General features: G+C 48.3%; 1 annotated feature.

Annotated features, from left to right (window-relative positions):
• Positions 13,213-13,435: a silencer, noted in NCBI's record as "fragment chr17:7269638-7269860 (GRCh37/hg19 assembly coordinates)". NCBI's record gives its function as "represses an EF-1alpha promoter that drives an FKBP-Casp9 reporter gene in an ReSE screen in K562 erythroleukemia cells {active_cell/tissue: K562}" and the evidence as "EXISTENCE:reporter gene assay evidence [ECO:0000049][PMID:32094911]".

Below are 21,413 nucleotides of genomic sequence, written 5' to 3'. Positions count from 1 at the left end.
AGTACCTAGGACAGTGTGGGCATATAATAGGCCTGATACATGTTGGTTGTAAAGAAGTCTCCTCAGTCTAATCCTCATTGTTGTGTAGATGATCTCTTTTTACTCCCTGCTTTTAAGATATCATTGGTGTTTTGTAGTTTTGTCACAATGTATCTAGATGTTTATTTATTCTATTTATTCTGCTCAATATGTTGTACTTCCTGTATGTATGAATTCACATCTTTTATCGTATTTTATCATATTGGAAAGTTCTCAGAAACCATCCAGATATTATTTTTCCTCTGTCCTCTGTGCTCTCTCCTTTGCCAACTCTGATTAGGAGTGTTCTAGACCTTTTCATTCTGTACTCTGTGTCTTTTAACCTGTCTCCTGTATCTTTCATCTCTTTGTGTCTTGGTGATACATTCAGGTAATCTCTTCCAGTCTGTCTTCCAGTTCACTAATTCTCTCTTTGGTTACATCTGATGTGCTGTTTAATCCTTACATGGAAGGGTTTTTTAATTTTATTTTTTGGTTGTTGTTATACTCATATGAAAATTACTCTACTTGGCCAGGCACAGTGGCTCACACCTGTAATCCTAGCACTTTGGGAGGCTGAGGCGGGTGGATCACGAGGTCAGGAGATGGAGACCATCCTGGCTAACACGGTGAAAACCCCGTCTCTACTAAAAATACACACACACAAAAAAATTAGCCGGGCCTGGTGGCAGGCGCCTGTAGTCCCAGCTACTCGGGAGGCTGAGGCAGGAGAATAGCGTGAACCCAGGAGGTGGAGCTTGCAGTGAGCCGAGATTGTGCCACTGCACTCCAGCCTGGGTGACAGAGAAAAAAAAAAAATTACTCTACTTTTTTTCCTTTTTTTGAGACAAGTCTCGCTCTGTAGCCCAGGCTGGAGTGCAGTGGTGCAATCTTGGCTCACTGCAACCTCCACCTCCCAGGTTCAAGCGATTCTTCTGCCTCAGCCTCCCAAGTAGCTGTGATTACAGGCACCCGCCATCATGCTGGTCTTGAATTCCTGACCTCAGGTGATCCGCCCACCTCAGCCTCCCAAAGTGTTGGGATTACAGGCGTGAGCCACCGTGCCCGGCCGAAAATTACTCTACTTTCTTTTCTTTTTTTTTTTTTTTTGAGACGGAGTTTCATTCTTTTGCCCAGGCTGGAGTACAGTGGCACGATCTCGGCTCACTGCAACCTCCGCCTTCCGGTTTCAAGCGATTCTCCTGCCTCAGCCTCTGGAGTAGCTGGGATTACAGCCGCACCACCACGCCCAGCTAATTTTTGTATTTTTAGTAGAGACAGGGTTTCACCATGTTGGCCAGGCTGGTCTCAAATTCCTGACCTTGTGATCTGCCCACCTCGGCCTCCCAAAGTGCTGGGATTACAGGCGTGGGCCATCATCATGCCTGGCCCTACTCTACTTTTCTTTTTCTTTCTTTCTCTTTCTTTCTTTCTTTCTTTCTTTCTTTCTTTCTTTCTCTCTTTCTTTCTCTCTCTCTTTCTTTCTTTCTTTTTTTTTTTTTTTGAGACAGAGTCTCTCTGTCGCCCAGGCTGGAGTGCAGTGGCACAATCTCGGCTTACTGCAACCTCCACCTCCCGGGTTCAAGCAGTTGCCTGCCTCAGCCTCCTGATTAGCTGGGACGACAGGCGCCTGCCACTATGCCTGGCTAATTTTTGTATTTTTTTAGTAGAGACGGGATTTCACCATATTGTCCAGGCTGGTCTTGAACTCCGGAACTCGTGATCCACCTGTCTCAGCCTCCCAAAGTGCTGGGAATCCAGGCATGAGCCACCGCGCCCGGCCCCTACTCTACTTCATTACACTATTTTACTGAGATATAATCTATAGTCAGTAACATGTACACATTTAACTGTATAATATGATGAATTTCAACAAATGTACACATCTATTAATGTGGCTAAAGATCCAGAACATTTCTTTCATCCCATAAAGTTCCCTTGTGTCTATTTTTAGTCAATTTCATCCCCCAGAAGGAACTACTACTCTGATTTTTAAAACCCAATGATCTGGCCGGGCGCGGTGGCTCACGCCTATAATCCCAGCACTTTGGGAGGCCGAGGCAGGTGGATCACCTGAGGTCAGGAGTTCAAGACCATCCTGGCCAACATGGTGAAACCCTGTCTCTACTAAAAATACAAAAATTAGCCAGGCATGGTGGCAGGCGCCTGTAATCCCAGCTACGTGGGAGGCTGGGGCAGGAGAATTGCTCCAACCTGGGAGGCAGAGGTTGCAGTAAGCCGAGATCATGCCACTGCACTCCAGCCTGGGCAACAGAGTGAGGCTTTGTCTCAAAAAAAAAAAAAAAAAAAAAAAATGCTGGGCTCGGTGGCTCAACCTGTAATCCCAGCACTTTGGGAGGCCGGGCGGATCATGAGGTGAAGAGATCGAGACCATCTTGGCCAACATGGTAAAAACCCATCTCTACTAAAAATACAAAAATTAGCTGGGCATGGTGGCATGTGCCTGTAATCCCAGCTACTTGGGAGGCTGAGGCAGGAGAATCACTTGAATCCAGGAGGCGGAGGCTGCAGTGAGCTGAGATTGCACCACTGCACTCCAGCCTGGTGACAGAGTAAGACTCCATTCACCCCGCCCCCACCCACACACACACAAAAAGGATTAAAAAAAAAAAAAACAATGATCACTTTACCTGCTCTAGATCTTATAAATGGAGTGCTTATTCAGTTTTTTTGTTTTTGGCTTATTTCACTCACCATAATCTTTTTGAGATTCATCTATGCTGTTGTGTATATTAGTAGTTATTTTTTATTATGAAGTAGTAGTTCATTATATAAATATATTACTTTTCAAATCTAGTATCCTAATGATGGATATATGAATTATTTTTATCCACTGGAGTTTTTTTTTTACAGCTTTATTGAGGTATAATTGACATTCAATAAACTGCCCATATTTAAAGCTTGTGATTTGATAAGTTTTGACAAATGTGTGCACTCATGAAACCATCACCATAACCACAGTAATGAACATATTGCCACCCCTAAAGTTTCCTTATGTCCCTTTGTAATCTCTTCTGCCCCTCGTTCCTCAGACAACCACTGATCTGTTTCTGTCACTCTAGACTAGCTTGCATTTCCTAGAAGTTTATGTAAATAGAATCCTACAGTATGCATTCTTTTTTGCCTGCCTTCTTTTACTCAGAATAACTATTTTGAGATTCATTCATGATATTGTATGTATCATCAGTATTCATCCCCTTTTAGTGCCGAGTAGTATTCCATTGTATGGATGTATCATAATTTGTTTATACATTCACCTGTTGATAAACATTTGGGTTGTTTCTAGTTTTCGCCCATTATGAATAAAGCTGCTGTGACCACTCTCTTTAAGTCTTTGTGTGGACATATGTTTCCCTTTGTCTTTGGTAAATACCTAGGAGTGGAATGTCTGGGTCATAAAATTAGTATGTTTAATTTTTTTTTTTTTTTTTGAGACAGAGTCTCGCTCTGTCGCCCAGGCTGGAGTGCAGTGGTGCCAACTCAGCTCACTGCAAGCTCAGCCTCCCGGGTTCATGCCGTTCTCCTGCCTCAGCCTCCCAAGTAGCTGGGACTACAGGTGCCCACCACCATGCCCAGCTAATTTTTTTTTGTATTTTTTAGTAGAGACGGGGTTTCATCATGTTAGCCAGGATGGTCTCGATCTCCTGACCTCATAATCCGCCTGCCTCGGCCTCCCAAAGTGCTGAGATTACAGGCGTGAGCCACCGCACCTGGCCAGGTATGTTTAATTTTTTAAGAAACCAAAAAAACTGTTTTCCAAAGTGGTTTTACCATTTCATTTCATTTATTTATTAAAATAAAAAAAGGTTTTTTTTGAGACGGAGTTTTGCTCTTGTTGCCCAGGCTGGAGTGCAGTGGTGCCATCTCGGCTCACTGCAACCTCTGCCTCCTGGGTTCAAGCGATTCTCCTGCCTCAGCCTCCTGAGTAGCTGCAATTACAGGTATGTGCCACCATGCCCAGCTAATTTTTTGTATTTTTAGTAGAGACGGGGTTTAATCATGTTGACCAGGCTGGTCTCGAACTCCTGACCTCAGGTGATCCACCCACCTCGGCCTCCCAAAGTGCAGGTGTCAGCCACCGTGCCTGGCCAAGAAAAAATTTTTTTGAGACAAAGTCTCACTCTGTCGCCCAGGCTGGAGTGAAGTGGTGCCATCTTGTCTCACTGCAACCTCCATCTCCTGGGTTCAAATGATTCTCCTGCCTCAGCCTCCCGAGTAGCTGGGACTACAGGTGCGAGCCACCATACCCAGCTAATTTTTGTATTTTTAGTAGAGATGGGGTTTTGCCATGTTGGCCAGGCTGGTCTTGAACTCCTGACCTTAAGTGATCTGCCCGCCTCAGCCTCTCAAAGTGCTGGGATTACGGGTGTGAGCTACCGCGCCTGGCTATTTATTTATTTATTTATTTATTTATTTATTTATTTATTTGAGACGGAGTCTCGCTCTGTCACTCAGGCTAGAGTGCAGTGGCGTGATCTCGGCTCACTGCAAGCTCCACCTCCTGGGTTCATGCCATTCTCCTGCCTCAGCCTCCCGAGTAGCTGGGACTACAGGCACCCACCACCAGGCCCAGCTAATTTTTTTTGTGTTTTTAGTAGAGACGGGGTTTCACTGTGTTAGCCAGGATGGCCTTGATCTCCTGACCTCATGATCCACCCGCCTCGGCCTCCCAAAGTGCTGGGATCACAGGTGTGAGCCATCACACCCGGCCTATTTATTTATTTATTTTTAGCAAGAAAGTCTCACTCTATCAACCAGGATGGAGTGCAGTGGTATGATCATAGCTCACTGTAGCCTCAAACTCCTGGGCTTAAATGATCCTCCCACCTCAGCCTCCCAAGTACCTGAGGCCATGGGTGCATGCCACAATGCCTGGCTAATTTTTTTTTTAATTTTTAGTAGAGATAAGGTCTCACTGTGTTGCCCAGGCTAGTCTCAAACTCTTGGCTTTAAGCAATCCTCCTGCCTCTGCCTCCCCAAATGCTGGGATTACACATGTGAGCTGCTGCATCCAGCTGGTTGTACCATTTCAAAGTCTTCCCAGCAGAGTATGAAAGTTCCAGTTGCTCTACATCTTCAGCAACACTTTCTAATTTTAGCCATTCTAGTCAGTGCCATAGTGATATCTCATTGTGGTTTTTTGTTTGTTTGTTTAGATGGAGTCCTGCTCTGTAGTCCAGGCTGGAGTGCAGTGACATGATATCAGCTCACTGCAACCTCTGCCTCCCAGGTACAAGCGATCCTCCTGCCTTGGCCTCCCAAGTAGTTGGGGCTACAGACATGTGCCACTATGCCCAGCTAATTTTTGTATTTTTAGTAGCAACGGAGTTTCACCATGTTGGCCAGGCTAATCTTGAACTCCTGACTTCAGATGATCCACTTGCCTTGACCTCCCAAAGTGCTGGGATTACAGGCGTGAGCCACTGCACCCAGCCATCATTGTGGTTTTACTTTGCATTTGTCTAATGATTAATGTGTTCAGTATCTTTTCATGTGCTTATTTGCCATCCATGTACCTTTATTTATTTATTTATTAGACGGAGTCTCACTCTTTTGCCCAGGCTGGAGTGAAGTGGGGCAATCTTGGCGCACAGCAACCTCCGCCTCCCGGGTTCAAGCGATTCTCTTGCCTCAGCCTCCTGAGTAGCTGGGATTACAGGCATACCCCACCATGCCTGGCTAATTTTTGTATTTTTAGTAGAGATGGGGTTTTGCCACGTTGGCTAGGCTGGTCTCGAGCTCCTGACCTTAGGTGATCCACCCGCCTTGGCCTTCCAAAGTGCTGAGATACAGGTGTGAGCCACCATGCCTAGCCCCTTTTATTTTCTTAACAGTGTCTTTGGAAAATAAAAAGTTTTAAATTTGGGTGGAGTCTAATTTATTCATTTTTTTCTTTTAGTGCTTTTTGTGTCAATTTAAGAGTATTTTTGGGGGGCTGGGCATGGTGGCTCATGCCTGCAATCCCACACTTTGGGAGGCCGAGTGGGTGGATCACCTGATGTCAGGAGTTCAAGACCAGCCTGGTCAACATGGTGAATCCCTGTCTCTACTAAAAATATGAAAATTAGCTGAGTGTGGTGGCGCATGCCTGTAATCCCAGCTACTTGGGAGGCTGAGGCAGGAGAATCGCTTAAACCTGGGAGGTGGAGGTTGCAGTGAGCCGAGATTGTGCCACTGCACTCCAGCCTGGGCGACAGAGCGAGACTCTGTCTCAAAAAAAAAAGAGTTTTTCTTAAACTTCAGCAATTACATTTTTCATGTCATTTTTTCAGCCAAAGATACTTTTGTCTCTTTAATGTCCCTGGTCATCTTTTATAGTCTTCTGTTGCTTTATTATTTTTTAAAAAATTAATTAATTGTGCCAGGAGCTGTGGCTCACATCTGTAATCCCAGCACTTTTGGGAGGCTGAGGCTGGAAGATCGCTTGAGCCTAGGATTTTGAGACTAGCCTATGCAACATGATGAAATTCTGTCTCTACAAAACATAACAAAAATTAGCCGGGCATAGTGGCAAGCACCTGTAGTCCCAGCTACTCAGGAGGCTGAGGCAGCAGAATTGCTTGAAACCAGGAGGTGGACATTGCAGTGAGCTAAGATCCTGCCACTGCATTCCAGCCTGGGCGACAGAGCGAGAGCCTGTCTCAAATAAAACCAAATAGTAATTAATTAATTGTTTCGGCTGGGTGTGATGGGTCATACCTGTAATCCCAGCACTTTGGGAGGCCCAGGTGGGAAGATTGCTTGAGGCCAGGAGTTCAAGACCAGCCTGGGCGAAATAGTGAGACCCCTGTCTCTACAAAAATAAAATTAAAAATTAGTCAAGCCTGGTTGCATGCACCTGTAGTCCCAGTTAGTTGGGAGGCTGAGGTGGGAGGATCGCTTGAGCCCAGGAATTTGAGGCTTCAGTGAGCCATGACGGTGCCATCACACTCCAGCCTGGGCCACAGAGCAAGAACTTGTTTCAAAGAAAAAAAAGAAAAAGAGAGAGAGAGGAGCTATGTTGCCCAGCCCAGGCTGATTCAAACTCCTGGACTCGGCCCAGCATGGTGGCTCATGCCTGTAATCCCATCATTTTGGGAGGCCAAGGCGGGAGGATCGCTTGAGGCCAGGAGTTTGAGAATAACCTGGGCAACAAATGATTCTCTCACCTCAAATCAACCTCCTGAGGAACTGGGACTACACCACAGGTGTGTGCCACCGTGCCCAGCTTTCTTTTTGTTTTCTTTTTTCTTTCTTTCTTTTTTTTTTTTTTGGACAAGGTTTTGCTCTGTGGCCCAGGCTAGAGTACAGTGATGCGATGTGATCATAGCTCACTGCAGCCTCAAACTCCTGGGCTCAATTGATCCTCTCACCTCAGCTTTCTAAGTAGCTCAGATTACAGGCATGCACCACCATGTCCAACTAATTTTTTATTTTTAGTTTTGTATAGATGGGATCTTGTTGCTTTCTCATTTTTCATTTCACATTCTCTCTTTTGGTTGTTGTTTTCTTTTTTTTTTTTTGGTTTTGGGAGTGTTTTTTTGTTTTTTTTTTTGAGACAGTGTCTCACTCTGCCTCCCAGGCTGGCATGCAGTGGCATGATCTTCGCTCATTGCAGCCTCTGCCTCCCAGGTTCAAGGGATTCTTGTGCCTCAGCCTCCTAAGGATTACAAGTGTGCGCCACCACGCCTGGCTAATTTTTGTATTTTTAGCAGAGATGGGGTTTCACCATGTTCGGCAAGGCTGGTCTTGAACTTCTGACCTCAGGTAATCCACCTGCCTTGGGCTCCCAAACTGCTGGGATTACAGGTGTGAGCCACCACGCCCAGCCCTTTTTTTTTTTTTGAGACGGAGTCTCGCTCTGTCACCCGGGCTGGTGTGCAGTTGCGTGATCTCAGCTCACTGCCACCTCTGCCTCCTGGGTTCAAGCGATTCTTCTGCCTCAGCCTCCTGAGTAGCTGGGACTACAGGCATGCGCCACCTCAGCCTTCCAAAGTGCTGGGATTATAGGTGTGAGCCACCGCGCCCGGCCCTTTTTTTTTTTTTTTTAAATAAGTAGAGATGGAGTCTCATTATATTGTCAAAGCTGGTCTTAAACTCCTGAGCTCAAGCAATCCTCCTACCTCGGCCTCCCAAAGAGCTGAGATTGCAGGTATGAGCCACCATGCCTGGCCTATTCCACATTTTCTTTTCTTTTTTTTTTTTTTTTGAGGGGGAGTCTTGCTCTGTTGCCCAGGCTGGAGTGCAGTGGCGCAATCTCATCTCACTGCAAGCTCTGCACTCCCGGGTTCAAGCCATTCTCCTGCCTCAGCCTCCCAAGCAGCTGGGACTACAGGTGCCTGCCACCATGCCCAGCTAATTTTTTTGTATTTTTTTAGTAGAGATGGGGTTTCACCATGTTAGCTAGGATGGTCTCGGTCTCCTGACCGTGTGATCCACCTGCCTTGGCCTCCCAAAGTGCTGGGATTACAGGTGTGAGCCGCTGCGCCCGGTCTCCACATTTTCTTTAATTCTTCATTCATAGTTTTGTTTTTATTCCAATTTTTAATATCCTTACAGATCTAAATTTATAGTCATTGTTTCTGCTGACTCTCATTCACGGTGGATTGTTTCCTTGTGTGTCTATGATTGTGAAATTATATTACATTTTATTATATTTTATTTTCTCTTAGAGATAGGTCTTGCTATGTTGCCCAGGCTAAAGGGCAGTGGCTATTCACAGGCACAATTATAGTGTCCTGCAGTCTCAAGCTCCTGGGCTTCAGGGATCCTCCTCCTCAGCCTCCCGAGTAGCTGGGACTATGGGTATGTACCACTGTACACAGTTTAATATTATATTTTATTGATCTTAATCTGTAGGAATTCCAAGTGCCTAAATTTGAGATGTTTTACTCCAGAGAGAAATTTCATTTGCTTCTGCCAGATGCCAGAGGTTGCAAACAACTTGAGACAGTTTTAGCTTCTTTCAGGAGTCCCAGATTAATGCAGGAGTCTCAGTTCAGCTTCCTTACCTTGCAGTGGGTTTACAAATTAGCATGCGATCCTCCCGCCTCAGCCTTCCAAGGAGCTAGGACTGCAGCTGCGCACAACGAGTACTGTCCAAAGCAGGTTCTCAGTACATGTTATTAGGTGAATAAGTCCATAAAATAATTAATGAAAGCAGTAGCTCTCATGTAAGGAAGAACTGAGGGGGCCTTGGGAATGCAAAGAAGTGGGTGAATGTTCTCACTGGGCTGAATAAAACCATGAAGGCAGACTTCAAGAAAGAGGCAGAAATGGCCAGGCAAGGTGGCTCACACCTGCAATCCCAGCACTTTGGGAGGCCGAGGTGGGTGGATCACCTGAGGTCAGGAGTTCGAGACCAGCTTGGTCAACATGGTGAAACCCTGTCTCTACTAAAAATATAAAAATTAGCCGGGTGTGGTGGCGGGCACCTGTTATCCCAGCTACTCAGGAGGCTGAGGCAGGATAATCGCTTGAATCTGGGAGGCGGAGGTTGTAGTGAGCCGAGATTGCACCACTGCGCTCCAGCCTGGGTGAAAAGAGCAAAACTCTGTCTCAAATAAATAAATAAATAGGTAGTAGCACTTGAGCTGAGCCCTGAAGGACAGGTCAGATGTTGCTAAGCCTTCTAGGCTGAAGGGATGGAATGAGCAAAGTCCAAGTTCTTGGTAGGAAAAACACAGTCTTTCCATGAGCTTCTTCAGGGAAGATCATGTGAAATCTGACTTTCCTTTGAACACCCAGTGTACTCTGGGAAGTACTAGAGGTCATCTGAGAATTGAATGAACGTGAGGCTAGGGCACATGGGGAGAGATGAAGGCAGATGTAGCCAGAGAGGCGGGAGCCGGAGCAGGCATTGATTCATCCCTCTAGCAAACTTTGACTGAGTCTCTACTCCGTGCCAGGTTCTGGGAACCCAGGTGAACAAGCAGACACAATCTCCCCCAGGGGAGCTTCATTCTAGAGGGCCTGCAGAACATGGTAAGGAGCTTGGGCCTTACCTGAGGGCTCTGAGGAGTTGTCTTACACAGGGGAGTGACAGAATCAGCCTGCTGTGGAGACCGGGAGAGGGCGAGGGGGAAGCAGGAGGTAAAGCGGAGGGGCACTGACGACTGGATTAGGAGAGTGAGACTGGCCTGCTGAGGCCCTGCTTATGGAGTGATAAAAAGGAAAAAAAAAACATATTTTAATACTCTCACATACCATTGTGACACCAGATGTGTGGGTTTTTTCCCCGTGCCAAGCAATTCTCCAATTCTCTGCAGACATCAACTGGGTGTCCTATAATTTAATTCGGTTCTGGCACTCAGTACCTAGTTAGTGCAGACCCCTATTTAAGGGCTCATTCTCACAGACTGCCCCTGACTTCAGATGCCAACTGCTCCTCCGAGCCTTCTGTCCTTCTCACTGACCAGTTAGAACTCAGGGGTCCCCACGACCCCTACCTTGGGTTGAATAATTTGATAGAATGGCTCACAAAACTGAGGGAAACATTTACTTACATTTACCAGTTTGTTTTAAAGGATATTACAGGGCAGGCAGGGTGGCTCACGCCTGTAATCCCAGCACTTTGGGAGGCCGAGGTGGGCAGATGGCTTGAGCTCAGGAGCTTGAGACCAGCCTGGGCAACATGGTGAAACCACGTCTCTACAAAAAATACAAAAATTAGCTGGGAAAAAAGGTCAGCCGCAGTGGCTCACACCTGTAATCCTAGCACTTTGGGAGGCCAAGACGGGCAGATCACTTGAGGTCAGGAGTTCGAGATTAGCCTGGCCAACATGGTGAAACCCCATCTCTATTAAAAATACAAAAATTAGCCAGGCCTGGTGGCACATGCCTGTAATCCCAGCTACTCAGGTGGCTGAGGCAGGAGAATCGCTTGAACTCAGGAGGCGGAGGCTGAAGTAAGCCAAGATCGCACCACTGCACTCCAGCCTGGGCAACAGAGTGAGACTCTGTCAAGAAGGAAGGAAGGAAAGAAAGAAGGAAGGAAGGAAGGGAGGGAGGGAGGGAGGAAGGAAATTACATCACAAAGGATACAGATGAATAACCAGGTGGATGAGTTGCTTCCAGCAAGGTTTGCAGGAGGGGTATGCAGCTTCCGTGCCCTCTCTGGGCATGACATCCTCCCAGCGCCTCCAAGCCTTCTCCGACCTGGAAACTCTCTGAACTCCATTGTTTGGGGTTTTTATAGAAGCTCCATTATGTAGCATGATTGATTAAATCATCGGCCTTGGTAATTGAACTCACTCTTCAGCTACTCCCCGCTACGTGGAGGCTGGGGAGGGGGTTGAAAGTTCCAACCCTCTAATCACATGGTTGGTTCCTCTGGCAACCAGCCCCCATCCTCCAAGAGTCACCCCATCAGCATCAGCTCAGGTATGGTTGAAAGGGGCTTATGAATAACAACAGATGCTCCTGGCACCACTGTCACTCAGGAAATTCCAAGGGTTACAGGAGCTCTGTGCCAGAGACCAGGGTAAATATCAAATATATATTTCTTATTATATCACAGCATCACAGATGGAGGGGAGGCCGAGGAGACGGGGCACCGTGGGTTGGACTCCAGGCTCAGGTCCCCTTCACCCTATCTTGCCCCAGCAGGAAACCGGAGGCGGAGACTCAAGCATGCTTTTAGCTTGGGCTTGGGAAAAAAAATCCAGGGAATTAGAAGCCTTTTTTTTTTTTTTTTTGAGATGGAGTCTCGCTCCTGTTGCGCCTGGCTCACTGCAACCTCCACCTCCTGGGTTCAAGCGATTCTCCTTCCTCAGCCTCTCGAGTAGCTGGGATTACAGGCATTGCACCACCATACCTGGCTAATATTTTTTGTATTTTTAGTAGAGACGGGGTTTCGCCATGTTGGCCAGGCTGGTCTTGAACTACTGACCTCAGGTGATCCACCCGTCTCGGCCTCGCAAAGTGCTAGGATTACAGGCGTGAGCCACTATGCCTGGCCTAGAAGACTTTTTATTTCTCCCCTTCTTCCTGTTTATTTCTTACTTTTTTTTTTTTTCCAAATGGAGTCTCGCTCTGTCACCCAGGCTGGAGTGCAGTGGCATGATCTCAGCTCACTGCAACCTCTACCTCCCAGGTTCAAGCGATTCTCCTGCCTCAGCCTCCCAAGTAGCTCAGACTACAGGCACCTGCCACCATGCCAGACTAATTTTTGTATTTTTAGTAGAGACGGGGTTTCACCGTGTTGGTCAGGCTGGTTTTGAACTCTTGACCTCACCTGCCTCAGCCTCCCAAAGTGTTGGGATTACAGGCGTGAGCCACCGCACCGGCCTATTTTTTACTTTTGGATTTAAGTTTCTCCCATCCCCACCTTTGCCCATAAAGAGGGTGGGATGTAGGGGAAGCACAGCCCGGCCATCCTAATCGCTGTTAGGGAGCATCTCCTTCAGGCTGGAATGCAGCACCCATTAACACTTAAACCTGGAGACCCAGATGGGGCACCGCCCACTCCAACTGCCCTTCCCTAACCTCTGCCCTGCCCCGCAGGCTCTGCATCTGGGAATGAGGACCACATTCACAGCAGCAGGGCCAATTCTTCCCCTACAGGGGAAGATAAGCAGAGAGGGTACTCGGCTGCCTGGCTGCCCTCACCACCTTGGATGGGGGTGGGATGGGAGAAGCACAGGTTGAGTGAGGCCCATTCCTGTGCAGAGGCCTCTCCATGCCAGTGAGGAACTACATTGGTACCTCCTTAGCTTCTCCTTCCCTGCTCTGATCCTGAGATCACCCAGCTCTCCCCCTTCCACCATCCACAAGCCAGGCTTTCAACAGGGGAAAGCACCTCAGCATCTTGGCTCGCTCTCCCCTGAGCCTCTGCATGGCTGTTCCCTCTGCTGAGAAAAGTCTTCCCAATCTGGCCTACTCTTGTCTCACTTGCTAAATGCAAGACACCTATCCCTGGCCGGGCGCAGTGGCTCACGCCTGTAATCCCAGCACTTTAGGAGGCTGAGGTGGGTGGATCACCTGAGGTCAGGAGTTCGAGACCAGCCTGGCCAACATGGTGAAACCCCGTCTCTACTAAAAATACAAAAATTAGCTGGGCATGGTGGCGTGTGCCTGTAATCGCAGCTACTCTGGAGGCTGAAGCAGGAGAATCGCTTAAACCCAGGAGGCAGAGGTTGCAGTGAGCCGAGATCGCGCCACTGCACTCCAGCCTGGGTGACAGAGCAAGACTCCATCTCAAAAAAAAAAAAAAATTAGCTGGGCATGGTGGCGGGCGCCTGTAATCCCAGCTTCTCAGGAGGCTGAGGCAGGAGAATCACTTGAATCTGGAAGGCAGAAGTTGCAGTGAGCCGAGATCGTGCCACTGCAATCCAGCCTGGATGACGGAGTGAGGCTCTGTCTCAAAAAAACAAATCAAAACAAAAAAAACACCTATCCCTGACTGCTCTGGTGTCTTCCTCTGCACCTCAAGTCCCCCGTGCTTTCCTGTCATTGCACTCATCACTCTGGTAGAATTTGCCAGTAACTTGTCTCCCCTGCTAGACTCTAAGCTCCAGGTAGCCAAGGACCTTATCTTGCCCGGCCATTATTATGTCTCCCCCGTTCAGTCTATCGCCTGACTTACATGCTACGTGCTCAGTGACATTTCCTGAACGAATGGATGAGACAGAGTCATCTGAATTGAGTGAAGCAAAGGAGAGGTTTGTAATTAAGAGCTCCTGTGCCGGAAGTGATGGGAATGGCAATCTCCAAACCTCACCAATAAGCACTCTTCTTCTGAACCCATCCATGAGGCCCTCCCACTTTGGTACTCCCTGGCCCTGCGCAGTCAGCTCTTCCCAGACCCTTGGGTACACCCTTCCTGTTCTTTTTTTTTTTTGAGATGGAGTCTCACTCTGTCACCCAGGCTGGAGTGCAGTGGTGTGGTCTAGGCTCACTGCAAGCTCCGCCTCCCGGGTTCACACCATTCTCCTGCCTCAGCCTCCCGAGTAGCTGGGACTACAGGCGCCCGCCACCACGCCCGGCTAATTTTTTGTACTGTTAGTACAGACGGGGTTTCACCGTGTTAGCCAGGATGGTCTCGATCTCCTGACCTCGTGGTCCACCCACCTCGGCCTCCCAAAGTGCTGGGATTACAGGCGTGAGCCACTGCGCCCGGCCCACCCTTCCTGTTCTGTCACCCCAACTTCATCTCCTAGGACCCTGAGTTCCCATCCATCCTTTCCCAATTTGCATTTGCTTCACTTGTGTTTACAATCATCAGCGCAACCCCTTGTACATATCTGCTGTTTTGCTTTCCAAAGTGGAAGCTCTCTCGTGCCCACCATGTTCCTTCAGGCTCACAGTGCATCTGAGATGCTTGACAGCACAGTGACTTAGGCCTCAACGCTGGATCTGCCTGCCTGTGTTCTATCCAGCTTTACCACTTAAAAGACTGTGAATCTGAACAAGTTACTTCTCATTTCTGTACCTCTGTTTCCTCATCTACAACATATGTCTATGAGGAGCATCTACTTTATGGGGTTATTGGAGAAGTAACTGTGTCCACATGTGCGGTAACCAGCCTCCAAAGTGGCTGCGGCTGCAACACCCCTCCGGGTATTCCTCCTGTTGTATAGTCCCTTCCCACAATGAATGGGGCTCATCAGTGTAATCATTGGGATTCCCATAGTACCTTCCCACAATGAATGGGGCTCATCAGTGTAACCAGTGGGATCCCCAGAAGGGATGGTGAGTGACTTCTGAGACAAGCCGTATAAGGCAGCATGGCTTCTGTCTGGCTCTCTTGGATCACTCCCTCTGGGGGAAGCCAGCCACCATGTCAAGAGGACACTGAAAGCCGGGCATGGAGGCTCATGCCTGCAATCCCAGCACCTTGGAGGCCAAGGCGGGAGGATCACTTGGGGTCAGGGGTTCGAGACCAGCCTGGCCAACATGGTGAAACCCTGTCTCTACTAAAAATACAAAAGTTAGCCGGACATGGTGGCAGGTGCCTGTAATCCCAGCTACTCGGGGGCTAAGGCAGAAGAATCGCTTGAACCTGGGAGGTAGAGGTTACAGTAAGCCGAGATCGCACCACTGCACTCCAGCCTGGGTGACAGAGCGAGACTCCGTCTCCAAAAAAAACTGCTTAGACTGTCTGACACGCTGTCACCGTACACATTAGTTATCATTAACTCCATTTTGCAGGCAGGAGGACTGAGGCTTAGGTTGCTGAAGTAATATCCCCCCGTGCACATGGCTAGGATGGACCCGGCCAGCCGTGTCATAAACCCAAGACATTTAGTGCCATGTCCTAGGCTCCTTTTTCTGTCCCACTGAACCAACTATCTGTTTTGAAGAAATAATACCTAGTGGCATAAAAAACACTGTTTGGGCCGGGCGTGGTGGCTCACGCCTGTAATCCCAGCACTTTGGGAGGCCAAGGTGGGCAGATCACGAGGTCAGGAGATCGAGACCATCCTGGCTAACCCGGTGAAACCCCATCTCTACTAAAAATACAAAAAAATGTAGCCAGTCGTGGTGGCAGGCACCTGTAGGCCCAGCTACTCGGGAGGCTGAGGCAGGAGAATTGCTTGAACCTGGGAGGCGGAGGTTGCAGTGAGCCAAGATTGTGCCACTGCACTCCAGCCTGGGAGACAGAGCGAGACTCCGTCTCAAAAAAACAAAACAAACAAAAAAAACACACTGTTTGATCATTGCCCTGGACTTCTTGAGTCAGGAATTCCAGCAGGACACTGTGGGGTTAATCTCTGCTTTACAATATCTGGTGTCTTGGAAAAATAAAAGTCTGGGGGTAACTGGACATCTGGGGGCTGTAATATCACTCATATGTGTGGCAGGAGATGCTGGCGTTTGGCTGGGACCCCTCATATGGACTCTTCCTGAAGTCTGGGCTTCCTCAGAGATGGTGACTAGGTTCCAGAGTGAGTCCCCAAGAGACAGAGAGTGGAAGGTGCCAGTTCCTTAAGGCGTGGGCCCAGAAAGTGGAGCAGTGTCACTTCTCCCACATTCCATTGGTCAGCCAGACACAGAGCCCAGATTCAAGGGAAGGATCCATAGAATCTGCCTCTCCATGGAAGGCAGGTCAGAGAGGATTTGGGGGCCACTTAAAAATGTTTCTGCACCCACAGCAGCCTCCCTTGTTTGGGAGGTGCTCAGAAATACCAGCCCTGTAGACCATATTCCAGTGGGCTGGCTTTATGTGCACAGAAAGAAACACAGGCCCGGTGCGGTGACTCACGCCTGTAATCCCAACAATTTGGGAGGCTGAGGTGGGCGGATCACTTGAGCTCAGGAGTTCAAGACCAGAATGAGCAACATAGTGAGATAGTCTCTACAAAAAAATTTCAAAATAGCTGGGCGTGGTGACATGTGCCCATAGTCCAGCTACTTGGGAGACTAAGGTAGGAGGATTGCTTGAACCGGGGAGGCCAAGGCTGCAGTGAGCTGTGATTGCACCAGTGCACTCCAGCCTGGGCTACAGAGTGAGGCCCTGTCTCAAAAAATAAATAAATAAATAAAATGCTTGGGACTGTGTCCCACATATACTGGCACTCACTCAGCATTAGCTGTTATAATATCTTGTTTAAATATATGCCTGGCCGGGCGCACTGGTTCACATCTGTAATCCCAGCACTTTGGGAGGCCAAGGTGGGAGGATCACCTGAGGTCAGGAGTTCGAGACTAGCCTGGCCAAAATGGTGCAACTCTGTCTCTACTGCAAATATAAAAATTAGCCGGGTATGGTGGTGCACACCTGCAGTCCCTGCTACTTGGGGGGCTGAGGCAGGAGAATCGCTTGAACCCGGAGGGCAGAGGTGGCAGTAAGCCGAGATCACTCCATTGCACTCCAGACTGGGCAGCAAAGTGAGACTCTATCTCAAAAAAAAAAAAAAAAAAAAAAAAAAAAAGACATGCCCTAGCTCTCTTCCTTGCCTGCAGTTTATAGACCTGGCTTTTTTTTTTTTTTTTTTTGAGACGAAGTCTTGCTCTATCTTCAGGCTGGAGTGCAGTGGCGTGATCTCAGCTCACTGAAACCTCCGCCTCCCGGGTTCAAGCGATTCCCCCACCTCAGCCTCCTGAGTAGCTGGGACTGCAGGCACGTGCCACCACACCCGGCTAATTTTTTGTATTTTAGTAGTAGAGACAGGGTTTCACCGTGTTAGCCAGGATGGTCTTGATCTCCTGACCTGGTGATACGCCCGCCTCAGCCTCCCAAAGTGCTGGGATACGGACGTAAGCCACCGCGCCCGGCCTGGCCTCTATTTACCCTGACATTCCAGGCTTTCCATCAGCAGCTCCCACTTGTTATATCTGCTCCTCAGGCCAGAGCTGTTCAAAGGTAGCCCTACCTGGAATCTCCACTTGAATGCCCCTGCCCGGGCATCTCAGATTCCATATGTTCAAGCTCACCTTCCTCCCTGAGCCCATCACTTCTCTGTGACCTCTCTGGAGCTTCGTGGCAGCGCCAACTGTACCCTGGACATTCTCTTCCTTCTTCTCTTCCTGCCATGCCCACATGCCCACTTCTCATCAGTAAGCAAGTGATCTACCTGTGTAATACTTCCTGGAATCTGGCCCCCACATGTCCCTGCGGCTTTATCTCTCAGCACTGCCCACCCAACGCACCCCCCACGGCCATACTGAATCACCTGTAGCTGCCCAAACACCTCCTGCTTTTTCATCTGTCATTGCCCAGGCTTGTCCTTATACCTGGGATGTCTTTCTCCTTTGGCTCAGGCACAACCTCTTCTGAGAATCCTTCTCTGAGCCCCTGGGGGTGTCCCTTCTCTAGACATCCCTCAGCTGTGTCACATCAAGGTGGTGGTGTTTCTTTACCAATCCATCTTCCCTCCAAACCATGCCCTGCCCTATTAAACCACCAGCTAACAGGTTTTTTGTTTGTTTGTTTGTTTGTTTTCGAGACCGAGTCTCGCTCCATCACCCAGGCTGGAGTGCAGTGGCATAATCTTGGCTCACTGCAACCTCCTACTCCTGGGTTCAATCGATTCTACTGCCTCAGCCTCCAGAGTAGCTAGGATTACAGGCACCTGCCACCACACCTGGCTAATTTTTGTATTTTTAGTAGAGATGTGGTTTCACCATGTTGGCCAGGCTGGTCTCGAACTCCTGACCTCAGGTGATCCAACCACCCTGGCCTCCCAAAGTCTGGGATTACAGGCATGAGCCACCGTGCCTACCCACCTAGTGGTTTTTTATCTTTGTTTCCACAGTGTTTGGCACATGGCAGACTCCAGGGTATGTCCTTGACAACCCCAGCCCCTTCTCTGAACCCTTGTGATATAAATTCCTCTAGTAAGCTCTTCCTGAGCATGTGGCATGAGAGGTTGGAGGAGTTTGTGTTTCTTTCTTTTTTTTTTTTTTAAGACAGGGTCTCACTCTGTCACCCAAGCTGGAGTGCAGTGGTGTGATGTCAGCTCACTTCAGCTTTGACCTCCTGGGTTCAAGCGATCTTCTCACCTCAGCCTCCTGAGTAGCTGGGACCACAGGCATGCGCCATCACACCCAGCTAATTTTTTTTTTTTTTTTTTTTTTGAGACGAAGTCTTGCTCATCCCCCAGGCAGGAGTGCAGTGGCGCGATCTCGGCTTGCTGCAACCTCCGCCTCTTGGGTTCAAGCAATTCTCCTGCCTCAGCCTCCCAAGTAGCTGGGATTACAGGCATGTGCCACCATGCCCAGTTAATTTTTGTATTGTTAGTAGAGACGGGGTTTCACCATGTGGGTCAGGCTGGTCTCGAACTCCCGACTTCGTGATTCACCCGCCTTGGCCTCCCAAAGTGCTGAGATTACAGGCGTGAGCCACTCGCCCGGCTGACACACCCAGCTAATTTAAATTTTTTTTTGTAGAGATGGGGGTCTCACTATGTTGCCTAGGCTGGTCTCAAACCCCTGGGCTCAAGCGATCCTCCTGCCTCGGCCTCCCAACATGCTGGGATTACAGGTGTAAGCCACTGTGCTTGGCCTCAAGCATTTTATATTAGCTTATTTAGACTTCACAGCAATCCCATAAGGTAACTACTACTGCATTTCATTGAATTTATCACGAATTTTAATATATCAATTGTAATATATACTATTATTTTATTTTTTAATATTTAAATTTTTTATTATTATTTTTTTGAAATGGAATCTTGCTCTACTGCCCAGGCTGGAGTACAGTGGCGTGATCTCAGCTCACTGCAACCTCTGCCTCTCGGGTTCAAGTGATTCCTCTGCCTCAGCCTCCTGAGTAGCTAGGATTACAGGCACCTGCTACCACTCCTGGCTAATTTTTGTATTTTTAGTAGAGATGGAGTTTCACCATGTTTTTCAGGCTGGTCTTGAACTCCTGACCTCAAGCAATCCACCCACCTCAGCCTCCCAAAGTGCCGGTTTTACAGGTGTGAGCCACCGTGCCCTGCTGATATACCATTATGTTATATACTGCTAAGAAAAAAATACTATCCACTAAGCCATGGCATACCTTCAGTTTAAGATGCATTCTGACTTCAGAGATGTTCAAATGTAAACAGATTAAAAACGTTATATAGAGTCAATAAAATACATTTACTGCATTTAAAAGATGAGGAGGCGAGGTGTGGTGGCTCACACCTGTAATCCCAGCACTTTGGGAGGCCGAGGCGGGCGGATCGCCTGAGGTCAGGAGTTCGAGACCATGCTGGCTAACACGGTGAAAACCCGTCTCTACTAAAAATATAAAAAATTAGCCCGGCGTGGTGCTGGGAGCCTGTAGTCCCAGCTACTTGGGAGGCTGAGGCAGGAGAATCGCTTTAACTAGGGAGGCAGAGGTTGCAGTGAGTGGAGATCGCGCCACTGCACTCCAGACTGGGCGACAGAGCGAGACTCCATCTCAATAAATAAATAAATAAATAAATAAATAAATAAATAAATAAATAAATAAAATAGAGAAAACAGGCACAGAGAGGTTAAATAACTTGCCCACGGTCCAGTAAGAGACAAAGCCAGGATTTGATTGAAACCAGGCAGCCCAACTCCAAAGCCCAAATTCTTAATCATCATTTGATGTGGGGCTGGGGGTCGTGAGCAGTGTGGAGTTTTCAGGGAGGCCAGCGCGGCCGCTGAGGGTGAAGAGCATTCCAGGAGAGCAGGCAGCCTGGTGGCGCCTCTGGGAGACTGGGATCCACTGTGAGAGGGTTCTGGGTGGGCTGGGGCTATGGAAGGATGGGACAGACAGGATAGAGATCCTTGAAAAATAGGCAGGACTGGCCGGGCATGGTGGCTCAGCACTTTGGGAGGCCGAGGCGGGCGGATCACTCGAGGTCAGGAGTTCCTGACCAGCCTGGCCAACATGGTGAAACCCCGTCTCTACTAAAAGTACTAAAAAAATTAGCCAGGCATGATGGCGTTGCCTGTAATCCCAGCTACTTGGGAGGCTGAGGCAGGAGAACTGCTTGAACCTGGAAGGTGGAGGTTGCAGTGAGCCAAGATCGCGCCACAGAAGTCCGGCCTGGGCATCGCAGCGAGACTCTGTCTCAAAAAAAAAAAAAATAGAAAGAAAGAAAGGAAGGAAGAAAGAAAGAAAGGGAGGGAGGGAGGAAGGAAGGAAGGAAGAAAGAAATGGGCAGGACTGGTTGGCCTCCTGAATATTGACTGTGAAAACAAGGATGGCTCCAAAATGTTGAACCTGGAAAGAGGGGACAGCAGGGGAGGGTACGGGCACCTACTGCCGTCCAGAGCAGGCAGGAAATGTGGCTTCCCATCCCTCTTGGTGGGTGGATACTCACTAAGTCTTTGTCAAATGAATGAATGAATGAGTTGTATGATCTTGGACAAGTTATATGATCTTACATGATCTCTGGGTCTCATTTTTTTCATGTGTTATATGAAGGGATTGGAATTGAATGTGTAAAACAAAAAGAGAGATACTTGGCTGAATGCAGTGGCTCATGTCTGTAATCCCAACAACTTAGAAGACTGAGGCAAGAGGACTGCTTGAGGCCAGGAGTTTGAGACCAGCCTGGTCAACATAGTGAAACCTTGTCTCTTAATATATATATATATTTTTTTAATTTTAAAAATCGGCTGGGTGTGGTGGCTCATGCCTGTAATCCCAGCACTTTGGGAGGCCGAGGCAGGCAGATCACCTGAGGTCAGGAGTTTGAGACCAACCTGGCCAACATAGGGAAACCCCATCTCTACTAAAATACAAAAATTAGCCAGGCATGGTGGCAGGCACCCGTAATCCCAGCTACTCAGGAGGCTGAGGCAGGAGAATTACTTGAACCCAGGAGGCAGAGTTTGCAGTGAGCTGAGATCATGCCACTGCACTCCAGCCTGGGCAACAGAATGAGACTCTGTCTCAAAATAATAATAATAATTTTTAAATTTTTAAAATATATATATTGAAAAAAAAGGGCGAGGTACGGTTGGGTGCAGTGGCTCACACCTTA

This window comes from Homo sapiens, chromosome 17, assembly GCF_000001405.40.
Source record: "Homo sapiens chromosome 17, GRCh38.p14 Primary Assembly".
NCBI lineage: Eukaryota > Metazoa > Chordata > Mammalia > Primates > Hominidae > Homo > Homo sapiens.
Note: the sequence above shows the minus strand (reverse complement) of the source record. Positions and strands in the feature narration are given on the sequence as shown.